The following is a 20,945-nucleotide window of genomic DNA, read 5'->3' as shown; positions in this document are numbered from 1 at the left end:
CCTCCTGGATGTCACTTGCCCTCCCATTTCTCCCCTTGGGTGTGTGTATAGGGTGCTGGGCAGGAATGAGCTCTTGATATCCCCTGATAGAAGTCCTGGAGGTGGATTGGACTATTTAGTACTTCCTGACAGATCTCCTCCAGCACAGTCACCCAAATCACAGTTCCTCACAGGACTTTGGGAGCAATGAAAGCTCCCAATAATGACCGATTGCTTATTATGCTCTAGGCATAGGGATAAGAGCTTTAGGCATTACCTCATTTAATTCCTCACTACATCTTCTGAGGTATTGTCATCAACTTCATTCTATAGAAGAGGCTAAAGAGATACAGAAAGTTTAAGTAGCTTATGTACAGTCACACAGCTCTCGAGTAGCCAAGCTGGGATGGAAGCTAAGGCCTGTCTGAGTCCACACTGCATCCTTGATCACCAAATGCCACCATTTCTCTACTGTAAAGAATTAGGACAAACTTATTTTAGATTTATTATAAGCACACAAGTAACACATGAATACATTATTCTTGTGAAACAATTCAAACAGCTCAGATAAGGCTAGAATCCCCTTGATCAGCATTCTCTCTTTTCTACCACTTTCCCCTTCTCAATGGGTAATTTTGTTATCAGTTTGGCTTGCGTAATTTCAGACCTTTTCCTATACGTTTACATACATGTATATGTCTGCATACAAAACACCCACATCTCTTGTTGTTCTGTAACATGTGGAATCATACTTGTAAACTTCATTCTGAAACTTCCTTCACTTCACAATATGTCTCTTTTCATGTAAGCATGAGCAGATTCATTCATTCCTTTCTACCGCTGCCCAGAATTTCATGTGATGGTTATACAGCATAGTTCTCTGTTTTCTGTTTCTGGTCATTCCCCAGTCAGTGGAAATGTTCACCCAGTTGGTGAACATTTAAGTTGTAACTAAATGTCCATTATAACAATACTTCATTGAAGATCCTTAGACATAGCTCCCCGTGTTCTTTGTGAGTATTTTTCTAGGGCGATGCCGGTGGAATTGCTGTGTGATAGAGTATGCAAATTTTTAATTTTTATAGACATTGACAAATGATCCTCTAAAGTGGCTTCACTAATCAATAGCTTTGTAAGAATTGTTACATACGTGTTGGGGAAAAGCACTGTCTTTCCAGGGAGAGCAGCACAAGAGAAAGTGTGCTGAAATTGCAGGAGGATGCAGCAAGTGGTGTGAGCTGTGGCTTCACAGCTGTCCAGTTGGGCAGGTGATGACCTCTATGGGCCTCAGTGTTTACACCTGCAAAATAGAGACCACAATCTCAATAACTCAGAGGGCCATTGTGAGGATTAGTTGAGATGATTTTTGAGCAGCTTATAGCATATGGCCATGTTCATACAAAGCACTTGACAACAACAATCATTAGCTAGGCGGGGAGAAAATGAAGACAGGGAAGGGTTGGGCTGTCTTCCCTGGAAAATCTTTAGGGACAGCAAGCCTACACCTGGGATAGACTCAGGTGTTATCCTCTGGAGGGAGGTTTGGATGACAGGGCTTTGATACCCAGCCAAATTCAGAGCAGAACGATAAGCCACAAGCCATGACATTGACCTTGAGTTATCTTCAGTCCAGCCTACGGGAGGCAGAATACATGGACAGCATGGATATTCATTACCTTTTTATGAAAATTATAAATTCACAAGAAATTCTTTTTATGTTTTTGCCTTTGAACTACTCTAACTTTTAAACCCGAACCCCTTTAACATTCTGTGTGGCAAATGCACAGGGTTTTAGGCCATTAAGGCAATGCCAGGAAAGGAATAATGCTTTCATCTGGTACGTTTATTTTCCTGCTATCAGCATGGCATAGTCATCTTGGCTCTGACTTTGACTTGGTATGAGTAATCTTGAGAAAATTGCGGAAGCTCTCAAAGTCTCAGTACTTTGTAAAAACTGGATGATAATTATATCTATAAGAAAAGCTAATGCTTATGGAGCACTGAAAGTGTTCCAGACAATGGGCTAATTACATTTCAGCTGCATTACTTTGTTACTATCTAATTTACTGCTCATAATTAATAGAAGTGGATGATGGTTCCTGGAGGTGAATCTGAGTTCAAATCTATTTGCAGCACAGCCTTGGGCAAGTGTCCATGTTTCTCTGTGGCTCAGGCAGTTTTGTTGGGAAGGTTAAGAGACTGATATATAAGACTCCAGAATTAACCCATGGTCTCTTAGCAGGAGAGGGCCCCTCCCTGACCATAATGGGAAGCAACAAGTACCAGACAGACCTGTGAAGGATGCCCTGCTCCAAGTGCCAACTCTGATTGTGGGACAGAGGTTGGCCGGGGAGGCAAAGGCCCTTGTGAAAATCCAAGCAAAGGTAATCCTGAGAGCATTTATAGTCCCCAAGTACCAGGGCTGAGCCCATCTCTCCTGAGGAGTCGTGGTCTTCTCCTGGGCCTGGTAGATGAGGGCACTGTTGGCAATCTTTGGCTTAAGAGGAAGCAATGGGGCCCCTGTCTTCCAGGCCTGCTTCTTGGAAATGTTCATGGTGAGCCTTGTCCACGGCTTCTTAAAACCACAATCTCCCCACTTCCATCCCTCTCCATGCCCAACTCCACTGTGTCAAAGGATTGCCCACGGCCTAATCCCTCTTCCTCCAGCTTGTAAACCCTGCTGAAACCCAGCGCAAAAGTTACCCAGGAGGGGAAGCAAAACAGCCTCTTCTTGGCTTCTTGGAGCTCATCAGGTCTGCTTTCCTGACAAGGGGTCTGTAAGATGGGAATTCTAAGAATGGCAGTAAGAGAACGGGACACCAAGAAAGGTAAGTTTTGATGGCAGAGTGCTTTGGAGACTTGTCCCAGGAGGCAGGCCTAAGCATGGGGCCATAGAAAGAGGAGGGAAGGGAGAAGAAGAGGGAGAGGGAGAGAAAGAGAGCAGAGGTGAGGGGGAGGGAGGGGCAGGAGGAGGGGTCAGGGAAGATCTGATGAGTGTGGAAACTGAGGCACATAGGGGTGAAGTTCCTTGCTCAAAGGCACATAGCAGTAAGAAGAGGTGCCAAAATTTGAACCCGAGTAATCTTTTCTTCAGAGCCTATGCCCTGAACCACTATAGTGAACAGCCTTTGTAAAATGGGGCTACTATGACCATACCTATATTTTACTGAGTCCTTGGGAAGGATAAAATATTCACGACTGGTGCCTGGGAAAAAGTTGACAACACTGGTTCATTCCCTTCTGCCTGCTCTCTTCTGTTTTTAAAATGGAGGCACATGGCCATGGAGAGTCCTGGTTACTATTACTTAATAGACTCAGATCTCTCCCTACCACAGAGGGATGGATTTTTAGTAAAGGAGCCTGTGCTGTATGTGTTTGTGATGGGGAAGGCTGGTGGTGGTGGTGGGGAAGCTGGGCGGCCACCTGCATTCCTCTGTGTTGTCTCCAGACCAGACAGGGGCCAAGACCTAAACAGGCTTAGGAGCCTGGAGAGAGATAACAGGGCCCAGGGCTGACCTTTCAAGTTCAGGTTCCTGCAGCCTGCAGGGAGCCAGGGGACAGGTGGCTTCAGAGGCCTTTCTAAGTGTGCACTTTGTCCTGGACTGTGACCTTGGAATATGCCCAGCCCCTGTCTGGGCTGGCAGATACCAGGCATCATCATAAGGGCATGGAAGACGGTGATCCCTGAGGCCTTCAGACCTGGTCCTCTGCCCCAGTTATGGTCTCATCTGTCCTCAGACCCTGGATAAAGCAATTGAGCTGCCAGGCTGAGGTCTTTGCAGGCAATGCTTCTGCTCAGGCCTGAATGTGATGTACTGAGGGAAAGCAGCCAAGTGTCATGAAGTGAACTCTGGCCCAGTCAACCTGGGCTCAAACCCTGACTCCATTTACTAACCTGATGACCCTGGTCAAATCACTTTACCTCTCTACACCTCAGTTTCTTCATCTGTAAAATGAGGATAATAATACTGGTCTCAGAGCTTGTGGGTGGTTCAGTTAAAGGTGCCCACATTTGTCAAAAGGCTTGGCATAGAACAGGAGCTCCTCTTCTTTTTTTACCTCTCTTTGGAATTGCTCCTTGTCTGATTAAGACATTGGTTCTGAGGCCACCTTCTCTGATCATCTACTTTGTCTTCCTTGAGTCTAAAAGCATCAGGAAGGACCCAAAGCACCCTGGAGCTGGCCCCATGCTTGGAGCTGGAGTGACTGACGAAGCCTAGCCAGGTTCCCCTTCCAAGTAGCCTTGAGAGGAGAGGCCAGACTGGGCTGAGACCCAGAAGGCAGCAACAGTCTCTGCTAGGAAAGTACCCAGAACCACTGGGGTAGATTCTTGTAAATTTCAGTTATATCTCCTGGGAACGAGTCCTGGCTTGCTTTGATAGATTTTTTTTGGCTTTCAAGTTACGGCACATGATTTCTAAATCTCAAAGCCCTCTAGCAATATGCAAATGGTTTTAATTTGAGGTGTAACAGACAGGTGGAATTAGCACTCTGAAGCCAGCACTTTCTTGGTAGTTCCTGCCATGAAGCAGATAACTCAGAAGCAAGTTGATTTTTTTTCCTATAGAAATCATTTAGGTCTCTCTCATCTGGTGGTCTTTCTAGGCTGTGGTGTTGAAGAGGGTAACATTTAAGAACACTCTAAGAAGAAATTTTATTTTCCTGCTTTTGAATATGACATGTTTTCTGTGAGTGTGTTTAGCAGGAATAAACCGGGGGCTGTTGCTTGGGTGATGGTTGGGTCAGTCTTAGATCAAAGACGAAGCTGCCAGCCAACTCTGGGCCTTCCCTGGGGCTTGTTTTGGTGTTTCCTTGTCTAACTTTCCTTTTTTTCTCTAACTTTTTGTGTGCTTTTCTTTTTTTGTGGGACGCTCTGTTCCAATAGGGGAATGGCCCTGACTACATTACTGGGATTAAGATAATGGTTAAAAGCATGATCTTTAGAGTTGAAGTAATGTGGATTTAAATTCGGACTTTTTCCATTTTCAGTCCTTGTGACTAGGGACACTTTAATTCACCACCCTAAGACTTGGTTACTTCTAGGATGGATATAAAAACAGCACCTATTTCACTTTGCCAGGATTAAAAACATAATTATGTAAATCACACAGAACAGCAATATAACACTTAAAAACTCTTACAGAATGTTTAGTAGTACATGTTGAATATCCTTTATCCAAAATACCTGGGATAAGCCATGTTCTAAATTTCAGATTTTTTCAGATTTTGGAGCATTTGCATTATACTTACCTTTTGAGCATCCCTAATCCAAAAATCTGAAATTTGAAATGTGATAATGAGCATTTTCTTTGATTATCATGTTGGTGCTTAAAAACGTTTCAGATTTTGGAGAACTTTGGATTTTGGATTTTTGGATTAAGGATATTCAATCTGTATTATCAATATACTTAGGAGCTCCAACCCACCAGCAGCAACTGATAAGTCATGTGACGATTCCAAACTGTGCTTAGTGGTCCATGGCGAAATGAGAGAAAGAACAGCCTGGTTCTTGGTTCTAAGAAGATCAGAGAAAGACGAGACTTACACATGAATGGAAAATGATGAGCTAAACAGATGTGAGTCAGTGTTTAATAAAATGCTAAGTTGAATTAGGCGGGTGATAAGAGAAACTGAAATGCAGGGAAGAGAGGTCACTATGAGAAGTGGGGGCTGCCTACCATTTACTGTGCATATACTATGTGCGAAGTTTCACTGGGCCTCTCAATCCTTACCATAGCCCTGGGGAGTGGACATTTTTACGCCCATTTTATTCACAAAAGGGCGCTAAGAGATGTTAAATGAGTCATCCAAGGCCATACAGCTAGAATTGGCATTTGAACCTAACCTGTAATGTGGGGGGCAGGCTTGAGCTGACCTTGAAAGAAGGGTAGAGTTCAGAAAGGCAGAAGTAAAAGGGAGCTGCATTCCTTGGCTTGCAGCTTTATGGGGCTGTGGAACTGTGCCCAACTTGGAAGACATTAGGACTGTTGCTTGGGGCAAGAGAAGGCCCCGTTAGGGAAGACTGCTGGGCTTGTCATGCCTGGCAGGCCGTGGGCATCAGGGCCAGCCAGTCCTGGCAGGCAAAGACCACATACGGCTTCTGTCTTGCCACAGCCCAGAAATGAAACCTGATATGCACCCTGGCCCTGCAAGACGCCAGGCATTTGCCTTCTTATCAAGCTGGGCACATTCCATGGCCAAGTGGCCACCTGGGTGACTTCTGTCAGGGCAGATCTACTTCAGGCTGTGTGTGCATTTGCATTCCTGCCTGTCTGGCAAGTTTTGCATTTTGAGAGTCTGCCCTGGCTAGAGGGCGGCTGGCAGGATGGTGTGCTACTCATGCTGCCCTCCAGCAGCAATGGGACTGACGGCACCCTGGGACAGGCACTGGGTCTGGTGTAAGAGGACCTAGATTTGAATCCTGTTCTACCTTTCTTAGTTGTATGACCCTGGGTGGGCCACCTCATCTCTCCAGGCCTCCATTTCCTTGACCATAAAATGGGAATGGTTAAAAAACCCCTACTTTTAGTTTCATGTTGAATATTAAATATCATAAAGAGGCTGACTTACCTTGGTAGGTGTTCCACAAAATTAATTACTATTTTTAATGGTATTAGCTGTTTCTGGAATATTGAGAGTCTTGAGCTTTAGAAAAGGGCACAGGCAGCAGGGTTGGGGATGGTGGGGAGTGGTCAAGAATGAATACAAAAATGTGGTGTGAAGCTGCCATGATACCTGGCTTGCTTACCCTTGGAAGAGCCCCAGCTTCCCATCCTGAGCTACGAGAGGAAATTTGAGTGAAGTTTGGGCTTTTTGGAACTCTATGCTTCACCTGATTGCTCAGAAGGGCTATGTGTTGTGATGAGACTTCGCCCCTAAAAATTCTCTGCTGGGCTGAAGCTGGGCTTGAGGAGAGTTTAGCTCAAATGTATTACCCAGCTGGGAACTACATCCCAGATGAGAGACAGTAGCAATCATATGTGCAAATGAAGCATACATTTGGACATTATGCATAACAATATGCAAATAAGCATAATATTTTTTATCTTATATCTAGAGCTTAGTAGAAACAGAACACAATATGTGTCAGATACACTTAGATTTAAACCACAGCTTGCCTCCTGTGTGAACTTGGGCAAGCTCCTTAATTTCTGTTAGTCTCCTTTCTCATGTGAGGAGGGCCACATTCCTTTACCTTTTCTTTCTCTGGGCACTCGCAACAGCCGTGTGAGGTTGGCAATATTACGATTATTATCATGATGAGCAAACAATCTGAGATCACTTAAGTGATTTGGCCAAGATCACTCATCTAAGAGACCCAGGGTAAGAACAAGGTGTTGCACTAGGATCAAGCCCTACCTGTTGAAAACCTCAGCCAGGTCCCCAGGGACCCTGACAAAGGAGTCCTGAGCTGGCTGTCCAGTTGGAGACCTTGAGCCCGTCCTCAGACTTCCCAATCCTTGTGCCTTTCCCAACTAAATTCCTGTTGTCTGGTGATACCAGCTGGATATTTGCATAGTGTATCTCAGAGAACAATCTCAGGCCAAAACCCTGATGTGTTACGAGATGCTGGCTAGTGATATGAGGCACCATTTTTCTGTTGTCATGGAGCAGATGGGGTAGATTGACTATTTCAGGGGGGTGTAAAAGTTTTCTGGACAGCTATTGCTAAAAAAGCTCATAAATGGGCTGCAAGGTGTTTCTATGGAGACCTTTATTGGGCTTTATGAAGAGTCCCTAGGGAATTGTCCAAAGGGCCCAAGGTTTTGATTTTGACTATTTCAACCTGAAGTCAGCTTTATTCTCAAAAACCTGGCTGACCAGCCAACATCTCTGAACACAACACAAAATTGGGTGACAGTGGGGATTGTAGTTCTGGTTAATTCTGGGTTTCAGAAAATGGAACGACTCCTTAGAGGTGGCAGACCTGTAGATCAAATAGGAATTTTATTTTCCTCAGTAAATGAGGGGAAAATTCAAAGTGGCTAGAGGAGATGCTGTCACTTTTGTGAATGCATTCTTAGTGTTTTCTTCATTTGGCCTTGCACTTGTTAGCAGGAGCACGTGGATGCTGACTGCTGTGAGGTGCCAGGGGAAGAGGAAGAGAGGCTGCATGATGAACTGCACTAGGCCAGGAAGAGCAAGTTTCTACTAATCAGGTTGCATGCCAGTCTGAGATCTCAGTTTAATGTTTTGTCAAAGAAGCAAGATTGTCAGAGGTAAGGAATAAAACTAGGGTATAAAAAGAAAGGAGAAAGGTTGAGAAGAAAGATGAAGAGGAAAATCAAGGAGGCAGAGGAGGATAAAGGAAGGAAGGGAGAAAAAACAAAAGAAAAAGAGGGAAGGAAAGGGGGGAAAAAGAGTATGGAGAGTATTCCATGACTACTTCACAAGCAAGGATGGAGAGAAGAGGCTGGAGAAGAGGCAGGTGATGGTTTCCTGAGTCAGGCCCAGGGCTGGAGACACAGTGGTTTGATTGACAGTTTTGGAGGCTTCCGACTAGGGCTTAGGGTCTGCTGACCTCTTAGTTTCAGCTCCTCCTCTTACTCCCCTTATCCTCCCAGCTTCATGGGGTATAGGTGAAAGGAATAGAGGACAAAGAATATTTATCAAAGTTTTCCTTTAAGAAAAGGTAACTTATCTTAGTCCTTTTGTTCTGCTATAACAGAATTCCCGAGACTAGGCAATTTGTAAAGAACAGAAATTTCTCACAGTTCTGGAGGCTGGGAAGATCAAGGCACCAGCAGGTTTGGTGTCTGGTGATGGCTGCTCTGTGCTTCCAAGATGGCGCCCTCACGCTGCATCCTCCAGAGAGAAGGAACACTGTGTCCTCATGGCTGAACACGGAAGGGCAAGTGGGGGCCAACTCCTTGTGCCAAACCTCTGTATAAGGACACTTAATTCCAAGCCCGAGGAAGGAGCTCTCATGGCCTAATCACCTCTTAAAGGCCTCATCTCTTAATACTATCACATTGGCTGACTTTTGGAGGGGACCCATTGAAAACATAGCATAACCCAATTCTGCCCTTCCCAGTATGATAAGCTGCCAAATCCATCAAGTCTGTCTCTGGGTGAGCGTCTCTTCTTTGTGGCTTTTAAAGTGTAACAACTCACTGTGTGTCAGGATGCAACATACAGTGCCTGCTTTCTCGTTTTCACAGATTTCTCTTCTTTTCATCAATGCTTGTGATGTAGTCACGAAACGGAGTCCGTACTTTTCCCCTTCTCTCCTTCCCTCTTTCTTTTTCTTTTCTTTTCTATCCCTTCCTTCTTTTAATCTCTGCCTCCTTGATTCTCCTCTTCTTTCCTCTCAATCTTTCTCCTTTCTCTGTATACACGAGTTTTGGTCCTTACTTCTGACAATCTTGCTTCTTCAATAAAATTGTGGGCTCCCTGAGGCCAGCGACCATGTCCTGGACATTTGTCCACATGGTTCTCAGCGAGGATTTGACCTTCCTGGTCTGTGACTTTGCTGCAAATACCAAGGCAAGATCACTGTCTTTCCTCACCCAGCCCTCCTGGGATGCATTTTTTGATTCTTTGAGCTGTCTGCTGTTGAAGCAGCTTTTGTAGCTGATGGTTGCCTTGTCTCTTTCCTGGATGGCTGGTGCCTACTCTCAGCCCAGCGTTAGCGCTGCTTGTTTTGGCTGCACAGACCCTTTTTCAAAGGAAAGAAGTGGTTTTGGATAGCAAGCAGGCAAGTCTAGCACTCCCCCTTCTCTGCATTTCTTTATTTCCCTGCAGGCAACAAGAATTCTTAGTGGCTGGAAAAACTAAAAATATCTCTGAGCCTTACGTTTCTGACTCACCGTGTCTGAAAAATGAACAAAAACAAACAAAACCCAAAACAAATTCTCTAGCTCTACTCCTAGGATATTATTGCAGACAAATACCATTATCCAGATTTCAAAGAGTGAAACCTTGGCTTTTCGTTGCTATGGGTTATGACCATGATGCAGAGATGCATGAGAGTAGGGAACAAGAAGTCTCCAGAGAAGGGTGGATTTGAAACCTTAAGGTTAAATAGCTAATGTTCTGGTGCCCTTGATACGTACCAGGCACCGGCACCAGGATAACTGCTTCACGTACATTTTCTTTTTTCTTTTTCTTTTTTTTTTTTTTTTTTTTGAGATGGAGTCTCACTCTGTCACAAGGCTGGAGTGCAGTGGCATGATTTCGGCTCACTGCACCCTCTGCCTCCCTGGTTCAAGCGATTCTCCTGCCTCAGCCCTCCCGAGTAGCTGGGACTACAGGCATGTGCTACCATGCCCAGCTAATTTTTGTAGTTTTAGTAGAGATGTGGTTTCACCATGTTAGCCAAGATGGTCTTGATTTCTTGACCTTGTGATCCGCCCACCTCAGCCTCCCAAAGTGCTGGAATTACAGGCATGAGCAACCGCAACCAGTCTTTTATTTTTATTTATTTATTTATTTATTTTTTTGAGACGGAGTCTCGCTGTGTCACAAGGCTGGAGTGCAGTGGCACAATCTCAGCTCACCGCAACCAGCTTCACGTACATTTTCATTGAGTCCTCAAACAACTGTAGGAGGCAAGCCAATGTTCCGTATATGCCCATTTGTAATGAGAAAACTGAGGCTTAAGAAAGGCTAAGTAGTTTACCTTAGCTTACATACCTAGAGGGGCAAACCTGGGAGGGACTCCAGTTCTCATTCTCTTCTTAGCTCTTATATTGTGCTACCTCCAAAAGGAAAACGATAATTTCAAAGTCATAGAAAGCTTTTAGGAATCAGGCTCCGGAGGGAGACAATCTCACCTAAAATGAGCTCTCAGAGTAATAAATCATTGCAAGAAGATTGTGAGGTTTGCCTTTATTTTGTATGTTTGGGTTCATTTGACTAGCCCTATAAAAGTATGCTGTTTATTTCTGGATACCATTGCTACAATTTTTGTTGCTGTCACTAGGTAAACAAGCATCTTAATTCAGAACCAGTGGCACCAGCATCAACTGGGAGTTTGTTAGAAATGCAAGGACTCAGGCCCGACCCCAGACCTCCCGAGTGAGAATCCCGGAGATTCTCTGCTTGAACGAGACCTACAAATGATTCAGGCACATGTGAAAATGTGGGAAGAGCTCACCGTCTCGGGATGTGGTTCTAGACCCTAAGTGCTTAGGGTTTTTCTCAGGAGTAGAAATAACTGAAAGCAGAGAAAATGGATTCACAATTCAGTCCCTCCTTTTTCCTATAGGAAAATAAATTTTAATTTTTTAAAAAATATTTAACTACGCATGATGTAACTCATAACAATGACCAACTGCTAAGAATTGATTATTTAAAAACATCTTTTCTCCCACGTGTTAACTCATTGAATTTCACAAAAAGCCAATGAGGTAAGCACTTTTCTTACTCTCATTTTGCAGAAAAGGAAGCAAGGCATAGAGAGGTTAAGTAAATTATCCAAGGTCAACACACTTAATAGCAAGTAAAAACAATTTTTTTAAACAGTAAAATTTACCTGAAACTAAATACCTGGGAACACTTCAAGCATTGCGTGCACTGAACATCACCTGTTTCCAGTCTAACACCTAGAGACTTTCTGAGTCACTCCACAGAATGAGGTACTCATAGCTCAACAAAAGCATTTAGCCACCTGTATACACTTATTAGAGAGAAGAACAGAAACAACAACCACTTATTAAGTGCTTCTATTTACAGTCAATAGCGCTTTACTACTTGCATTTATATTATTTTTTTTTGGTACCTCAACTTTTGAATCTTTTCTGATTTACTTTATAAAAGAGAACTTCACATGGGATTTTGAGGTTTTGTCAAAGGAACTGTGTCTGAATCACCTTTCCACTGCCCAGTGCTTGGTGCAGCATTTTGTAGCTGCACAATAAATGCCTGTTGAAGGCAGAACAGCCTAGCAACTTCAAGCTCTTTCCTCTACGAAGAAGCCTTTCCATTTTTTTGGGGGGGCATTTAACATAAATAGTTCAAAGACATCATTTGAAACACAGATATGCTCGAGTAGTTTCCTCATAGAGGGCATGATACCGTCTGTGCAGAACATCTTAGTTCTTTCTCTGTTCTGCATCACGTTTTACTGCGGAGGTTTCCAGTTCAGCATTTTGTTGTCAGTCAACGGCGCTCTCATTTTGCTGAGTGGGGATGAAGTGGGTCAGTTGTGTGAACCACTCACCCCAGGAGAATTCTGTTCCAGAAGTATCCAGGAACTTTCCTAGGGGAAGAAAACACAGGCTATGGAATAGGCTGTGGAATTACACGGAGTTAGGTTTGAATTATGGTGCTCTAACTTACTGCCTTGGGCAGTTGACTCAATCTATCTGAATCTTAGTTTTCTCATGTATAAAATGGGATAATAATACCTACTCCATTGGTTTGGTTATGGAGATGAAATGAGATAGTGCATGTAGGCAGTCTAGCAGAGAATCTGGTACACAGCAGACACAAAATAACAGGGGTTGGGGGCATTTGCAGAGGTGACCAGATGAAGTCAGCAAAACCATTATTTTCTCCTAAAGTGTGGGGAGAGCATAAAAACCAGACAGGCAGAGAAGTCTTTTCCAAAGGCATGAATAGGACACTTCTCAGACTTCCATGTCATTGACAATGCTCTTACCATCTCCATTCCCTCCAAGACCAGATGGCTTCTTGTCTCAGCATCTTAGAGGATCTGAAAAGGTCTCAGATGGTGTGGGCCCTGTGATGAGACCTGATTCCCCGGGATGACACCTAGTGTAACTAACCTCTTTTTGCTCAGTGCAAGAAAAATAGCATTCTGCAAGTTGTTCCCAGGATGACATCAGTTTTGAAAAAATTTTCTGAATGAGGTTTTACTCCACTGATTTCCGCCACTAAGTTGTAGCCCGGGAAGGTTAAGGCACTTGCCCAATGTCCCAGAACAGATAAGTGATGGAACCAGGACTCAAACCAGGTCTGTGTGGCTCCAGAACCCTTAGGTCTGGGCTCTACTGCTTTGTGTGGAAATGGAGTTGGTGTCTGGGAAGTTGGGTTTCTACTCTCCCTTCCTGCTGCAGGAAGGAGAACTGTGGAAATGAACCCACCCCTCTCTTGAAGTGGAGTGGGAAGGAAAATCCAGGCTCAGGTCTGCATGGCTAACCAGATCAGAAGACTCTTTCTGTCCTCCAGAGATGGCCTCCTCTAGTTAATCATTGAACTCCTGCTCCCCAGCCCAGGAGAGGTGACCTGCCAGCACCGGGGTGGCATAAATGGCTGCTCACCAAGCAGAAGTTGTCCTCTGGCCATTCCTGGAGAAGGGCAGCCAAGCCCATTGTAGCTTTGATCCTTCCTTTTACTCCCCTGGGAAATGCTGGGGGTGGAGAGAAAACTTCAGCCTTTGTAACCTTCACTGCTGGTGAATACTTAACATTCTTCAAAGAGAAATTTAAAGGAGCTGCCCAGAGTTCCCAGCTGTCTATGCCTAGCTCTGCTTAATAAGCCAGTGGCACAGGGGACAGGCTGCTTATGAATAGTCTCGCTTCTCACACCCAATCGACTCTAACTGGCTGTTGCTGATGGACTGACAGTGGGAAGCTACCTTGTGAGCCGTGAGCAAGTCCCAGGAACAGAGGCAGAGGAGGAAAGCCAGTTGAGCTTAGGCGCTAATCTGCCATACCCACTTCCAGAGACCCTCCATGTACTGCAGCTCCCCTGGGCCCAGACTCCAGACAAAGTTTAGATGGATGTCCTTGCTGTATTTTTCTGTCTCAAATAAACGTGGTATGTAGAAGTGTTAGCAGAAAGCGGTCCGGATCCAGACCCCAAGAGAGGGTTCTTAGAGCAAGTGCAAGAAAGAATTCAGGGTGAGTCTGTAGAGTAAAATGAAAGCAAGTTTGTTAGGAGAGTAAAGTATTCGAATAAAAGAATGGCTACTCCATAGACAGAGCAGCCCCGAGGGCTATTGGTTGCCCATTTATATGGTTATTTCTTGATGATATGCTAAACAAGGGGTGGATTATTCATGCCTCCCCTTTTTAGACCATATAGGGTAACTTCCTGACGTTGTCATGGCATTTGTAAACTGTCATGGCACTGGTGGGAGTGTAGCAGTGAGGATGACCAGAGGTCATTCTCTTGGTTTTAGTGGATTTTGGCCGGTTTCTTTCCTTTTTTTTTTTCTTGGAGATGGAGTCTTCGCTCTCTTGCCCAGGCTGGAGTGCAGTGGCGGGATCTCGGCTCACGGGTTCACGGCATTCTCCTGCCTCAGCCTCCCAAGTAGATGGGACCACAAGTGCCTGCCACCACGTCCGGCAAAATTTTTTTTTTGTGTGTGTGTTTTTAGTAGACATGGGGTTTCACCATGTTAGTTGGCTGGCTTCTTTACTGCAAGCTGTTTTATCAGCAAGGTCTTTATGACCTGTATCTTGTGCTGACCTCCTATCTCATCCTGTGACTTAGAATGCCTGACCGGCTGGGAATGCAGCCCAGTAGGTCTCAGCCTTATTTTACCTAGCTCCTATTCAAGATGGAGTTGCTCTGGTTCAAACACCTCTGACAGAAGGATTTCTAGAGACAGGTGAAGTATTTAGGCTGAGAAGAGCTTGGGCTGGAGCCATTGAGTCCTTTGACATACTTCCCTGGATGTGCTGCTTTCAACAGAGGGCTGTTGTAGAAGGAAGAAACATTTCTGTGTCTTGTTCAGGCCAGGAAAGCATATCAGATGAAGACATTAAGTCCCACAGAGAGTAAGTCAGTTCTCGCACTTGCCTGGCTGCATGCTGCCAGTGGAGAGGGAGGAATATTCCCAGGACCAGCATGGCAGGAGGTCATATTAACAAGCTTGACCGTGGCTCCTCATTCTGTGGAGTGACGATCAGGAGGCTGACCTCAGCTGCTAGAAGTCCCTTTGCAACGTGGAGCAAATAAAAGGAGCCACAGTGGGAGAAAGCCAAAGAATAAAATAATTTCGACAGGATGCCCAACCCGTGATCCCTCTAGGCCAGAATTCTCTAATAATACTAATGAATATTGTTGTGGGAGTTGGGAAGGAGGGTGCTTACTATTGACCAGGGCCCATGTTTTTTATGAATTTATTTTAGAAATGTCATTCAATAACCTTATAACGTTAGAAGAACTACCAAAAGTTGTGTTTTTGTGTTTGTCTTTTAATTAAGGCAACCTAAAAAATTGGCACACTGCCCTTCTACCTCCTGACCCTGCCCCCAAGAAATCAGCTCTTCTTAAGTAGCACATTAGTGACCTGTAACCCATAAAGGAGCAGAGGTAACTTAATGCATAGCAAAGAACACTGGACTAAGAAAGTCCACTGCCTTCCCTCCAAAAGATGATTGTGTGCTTGGGCAGGTCACTTTGCCATTCTGGACTCAGTTTCCTCACCTGTGAACTGAGGATTGGCTGGACTAGATCCCTAGTTCTCAACCTTTACTGTGAATTAGGATCTTCTGGAGAGTTTGTGAAAAATACTAATTTTTATTGCATAGAGACACATACCCTTACAACACATAAATGCATGCATGTAAAAAATGGTGAAAGACGAATAATCTGTAGTCTAGTTAATAGCATTGTACCAATGTCAACTTCCTGAATTTGATATCGTCTTATTTATATTTAAGATGATAATCACCACTGGGGGAAGTTAGGTGAAGGGTACATGAGACTGTATGTATGATTTTTGCAACTTCCTACAATTTTAAAATAAAAAGTTAAAAAAAATCCTAATGCCCAAGTTCCACCCCAAAGGTTGTGATTCATTAGTCTGGGACTTGGACGTCAATGTTTTTTAAAACCTCCTCAGGTGATTGCAATGTGCAGCCATGGTTGAGAACTACTGAAGTAGGTGATCTCCAGATCCCTTTCCAGCCCTAAAATATTATCACTTAAATTTATCTAAACCCTTCTTGAAACTATTTACATGTTCAGTGTGCAGGGGTAAGATGTTAAGTTTATTACCTGCTGTATAAAAACTTTCTTGAATTTGTCCTAAAGTTACTCCTTCTTTGAGTGACCCAAGCTCTAGCCTCTTTCACTCCCAAGCGTTGTTGTCCTCTACCTGTGTCCTGGAGCTGCATCTTCTCAACGGATGCCCTTTGCCATGACTCTGACCTTCTCCATGAGCCACCCACCCCTCACTGGCTGACAATCACTTCCTATGATCCCTTGATTGCAACTCCCTGCAATAAGATGCTACCAGCTCCACATGATTCTCAGCAGAGAGGGAGGAACTGGGCAGGCCATGCTGCCCTTTGCAGTTTCTTCACTTTATTCTCTATACTTTCACTGAAAGCCTTATGGTATACCAGAATCACAGGGAGCCCATTTGAGGATGCACTCCAATTCCTCATTCAGTTCCATGTCCTCTGATGAGTCCTCCTTTCAGAGAACTCCTTTCTTTGTACAGCAATAGTGAAATTCTTTACCCCATCCCCCTTTAGGGAAAGTGATGTCTATCCCCAAATTGATCCCTTTCCAGGATTCACCCCTTTTCTTTCATCAGGATAATCCTAGAACTTCAGTAACCCACAGAGGAAATACTCTCAAAATCTGAGATAATCAACCAAGAATTACACAATGGAGGAGGGAAAGTGGTGGCTTCACTAGGACTGTCCCAGGTAAGCTTTAGCATTCCAGGTCCGCTTTAGCATTCCAGGTCCAATTGTGACAGGTTAGGGGGCCGATGTCTCCTCTTTCTTCCTGATTATCCAGGTGGTAACTAGTGGAACACACACACACACACACACAAACACACACTCTCTCTCTCTGTTTCATATTTCTCAAATAACAATTGTATGTTCTCTATCCATATTAAGCAAAATAAACTTTTATTTTCTTTTAAAAATTTTTTTTTGTTTCCATAGGTTATTGGGGAACAGGTGGTGTTTGGTTACATGTATAAGTTCTTCAGGGGTGATTTGTGAGATTTTGGCGTACCTATCACCCGAGCAGTATACACTGCACCCAATTTGTAGTCTTTTATACCTCACCCTCTTCCCATCCTTTCCCCGAGTCCTCAAAGTCCATTGTGTTACTCTTATGACTTTGCATCCTCATAGCTTAGCTCCCACTTATGAGTGAGAACATACTCTGTTTGGTTTTCCATTCCTGAGTTACTTCACTTAGAATAGTAGCCTCCAATCTCATCCAGGTCGCTGAGAATGCCATTAGTTCATTACTTTTTATGGCTGAGTATTATTTCATCATATATATATATGATGTGGTATATATATATATATATATATATATATATATATATATATATATACCACAGTTTCTTTATCCACTTGTTGATTGATGGGCATTTGGGTTGGTTCCACATTTTTGCAATTGAGATTTGTGCTGCTGTAAACATTTTGTATGCAAGTATCTTTTTTGTATAATGAGTTCTTTTTCTCTTGGTAGATACCCAGAGGTGGGATTGCTGGATAAAATGATAGTTCTACTTTTAGTTCTTTAAGGAATCTCCACACTGTTTTCCATAGTGGTTATACTAGTTTACATTCCCATCAGCAGCATGTAAGTGTTCCTTGTTCACCACATCCGTGCCAACATCTATTTTTTTTGATTTTTTGATTATGACCATTCTTGCAGGAGTAAGGTGGTATCACATTGTGGTTTTGATTTGCATTTCCCTGATCATTAGTGATGTTGAGCATATTTTCTTATGTTTGTTGGCCATTTGTATATCTTCTTTTGATAATTGTCTATTCTCAAGCCAATGTCTAGAAGGGGCTTTCCAATGTTATCTTCTGGAATTTTTATCATTTCAGGTCTTGGATTTAAGTCCTTGATCAATCTAGAGTTGACTTTTGTAAAAGGTGAGAGATGAGGAACCAGTTTTAGTCACCTACATGTGGCTTGCCAATTATCCCAGAACAATTTGTTGAATAGGATGTCCTTTCTCCACTTTATGTTTTTGTTTGCCTCGTTGAAGATCAGTTGGCAGTATTTGGGTTTATTTCTGGGTTCTCTATTCTGTTTCATTGGTCTATGTGCCTATTTTTATACCAGTACCATGCTGTTTTGGTGACTATGGCCTCATAGTATAGTTTGAAATCAGTTAATGTGATGATTCCAGATTTGTTCTTTTTGCTTAGTCTTACTTTGGCTATGTGGGCTCTTTTTTTGGTTCCATAGGAATTTTGGGGTTGTTTTTTCTAAGTCTGTGAAGAATGGTGATGTTATTTTCATGGGAATTGCATTGAATTTGTAGATTGCTTTTGCAGTATGATCATTTTCACAATATTGATTCTACCCATCCATGAGCATGAGATGTTTCCATTTGTTTGTGTCATCTATGATTTATTTCCATAGAGTTTTGTAGTTTTCCTTGCAGAGGTCTTTCACCTCCTTGGTTAGGTATATTCCTAAGTATTTTATTTTATTTTTGCAGCTATTGTAAAAGGTATTGAGTTCTTGATTTGTTTCTCAGCTTGGTCGCTGTTGGTGTATAGAAGAGCTACTGATTTGTATACATTAATTTTGTATTCAGAAACTTTGCTGAATTCTTTTATCAGTTCTAGGAGCTTTCTGGAGGAGTCTTTAGGGTTTTCTAAGTAAACAATCATATCACCAACAAACGGCAACAGTTTGACTTCCTCTTCACTGATTTGGATGCCATTTATTTCTTTCTCTTGTCTGATTGCTCTGGCCAGGACTTCCAGCACTATGTTGAAAAGGAGTGATGAGAGTGGGCATCCTTGTCTTGTTCCAGTTCTCAGAGGGAATGCTTTCAAGTTTTCCCCATGCAGTATTATGTTGGCTGTGGGTTTGTCATAGATGGCTTTTATTACATTGAGGTATATCCCTTGTATGCCGATTTTGCTGAGAGTTTTAGTCATAAAACAATGGTGGATTTTGTCAAATGCTTTTTCTGCATCTATTGAGATAATCGTGTGATTTTGTTTTTGATTCTGTTTATATGGTGTATCACATTTTTTGACTTGCATATGTTGAAACCATCCCTGCATCCCTGGTATGAAACCCACTTGATCATGGTGGATTATCTTTTCAATACGTAGTTAGATTCGGTTAGCTAGTATTTAGTTAAAGATTTTAGCATCTGTGTTCATCAGGGATATTGGTCTGTAGTTTTCTTTTATGGTTATGTCCTTTGCTGGTTTTGGTATTAGGGCAATACTGGTTTCACAGAATGATTTAGGGAAGGTTCCCTCTTTCTCTATCTTGTGGAATAGTGTCAATAGGATTGCTCCCAATTCTTCTTTGAATGTCTGGTAGAATTCTGCTGTGAATCCTTCTGGTCCTGGACATTTTTTTGTTGGTAATTTTTAAATTTCCGTTTCAGTCTCGCTGCTTGCTATTGGTCTGCTCAAGGTATCTTATTCTTCCTGATTTAAGCTAGGAAGGTTGTATATTTCCAGGAATTTATCCATCTCCTCTAGGTTTTCTAGTTTATGTGCATGAAGGTGTTCATAGTAGCCTTGAATGATGTTTTGTATTTCTGTGGTGTCGGTTGTAATATTTCCTGCTTCGTTTCTAATTGAACTTATTTGGATTTTCTCTCTTCTTTTCTTGGTTAATCTTGCTAATGATCTATTAATTTTGTCTTTTCAAAGAACCAGCTTTTTGTTTCATTTATCTTTTGTATTTTTTTTTGTTTCAATTTCGTTTAGTTCTGCTCTGATCTTGGTTATCTTCTTTCTTCTGCTGGGTTTGGGTTTGATTTGTTCTTGTTTCTCTAGTTCCTTGAGGTGTGACCTTAGATTTTTTGTGCTCTCTCAGACTTTTTGATTTAGGTGTTTAGGGTTATGAACTTTCCTCTTAGCACTGCCTTTGCTGTATCCCAGAGGTTTTGATAGGTTTTGTCACTATTGTTGTTTAGTTCAAAGAATTTTTAAATTTCCATCTCGATTTCATTTTTGACCTAATAATCATTCAGGATCAGGTTGTTTAATTTCCATGCATTTGCATGGTTTTGAAGGTTCTTTTTGAAGTTGCTTTCCAGTTTTATTCCACTGTGGTCTGAGAGAATCCTTGATATAATTTAAACTTTCTTAAATTTATTGCGGCACTACTCACAATAGCAAGGACTTGGAACCAACCCAAATGTCCAACAATGATGGACTGGATTAAGAAAATGTGGCACATATACACCATGGAATACTATGCAGCCATAAAAAAGGATGAGTTCATGTCCTTTGTAGGGACATGGATGAAGCTGAAAACCATTATTCTCAGCAAACTATCGCAAGGACAAAAAACCAAACACCGCATGTTCTCACTTATAGGTGGGAATTGAACAATGAGAACACTTGGACACAGGAAGGGGAACATCACACACCAGGGCCTGTTGTGGGGTGGGGGGAGGGGGGAAGGATAGCATTAGGAGATATACCTAATGTAAATGACAAGTTAATGGGTGCAGCACACCAACATGGCACATGTATACACATGTAACAAACCTGCACGTTGTGCACATGTACCCTAGAACTTAAAGTATAATAAAAAAATTAAAAAAGAAAAAAATTTATTGAGGCTTGTTTTGTGGCCTATCATATGGTCTATCTTGGAGAAAGTTCTACTCACTGTTGAATAGAATGTATATTATGCAGTTGTTGGGTAGAATGTTCTGTAAATGTCTGTTAAGTCCATTTTTTCAGGGTATAGTTTAAATCCATTTTTTCCTTGTTGACTTTCTGTCTTAATGACCTGCCTAGTGCTGTAAGTGGAGTATTGAAGTGCCACTATTATTGTGTTGCTGTCTATCTCATTTCTTAGGTCTATTAGTAATTGTTTTATACATTTGGGAGCTCCAGTATTAGGTGTATATATATTTAGGATTGTGATATTTTCCTGTTGGACAAGATCTGTTTTCGTTATATAATGTCCCTCTTGGTCTTTTTTTTTAACTACTGTTGCTTTAAAATTTGTTTTGTCTGTTTTAAGAATAGCTACTGCTGCTCACTTTTGGTGTCCATTTGCATGGAATGTTTTTTCCGCCCCTTTTCCTTAAGTTTATGTGAGTTCTTATGTGTTAGGTGAGTCTC

The 20,945-nt window shown here is 42.6% G+C and overlaps 2 long non-coding RNA genes across 2 annotated transcripts; both read right to left on the bottom strand.

Moving 5' to 3' along the window:
• Positions 1-460: 460 nt before the first annotated feature.
• LOC124902755 (uncharacterized) lies at positions 461-1,279 on the bottom strand. Its single transcript, XR_007062890.1, has 2 exons — positions 1,130-1,279; positions 461-1,027 (listed from the first exon to the last, which is right to left on the bottom strand). It is a non-coding gene; the product is annotated as an uncharacterized LOC124902755 (long non-coding RNA).
• A 9,902-nt stretch (positions 1,280-11,181) lies between these two features.
• On the bottom strand, positions 11,182-13,874 carry LOC105369491 (uncharacterized). Its single transcript, XR_948011.3, has 2 exons — positions 13,206-13,874; positions 11,182-12,181 (listed from the first exon to the last, which is right to left on the bottom strand). It is a non-coding gene; the product is annotated as an uncharacterized LOC105369491 (long non-coding RNA).
• Between the last annotated feature and the right edge of the window lie 7,071 nt (positions 13,875-20,945).

The sequence above is a fragment of the Homo sapiens genome, chromosome 11, assembly GCF_000001405.40.
Source record: "Homo sapiens chromosome 11, GRCh38.p14 Primary Assembly".
NCBI classification, from domain to species: domain Eukaryota; kingdom Metazoa; phylum Chordata; class Mammalia; order Primates; family Hominidae; genus Homo; species Homo sapiens.
Note: the sequence above shows the minus strand (reverse complement) of the source record. Positions and strands in the feature narration are given on the sequence as shown.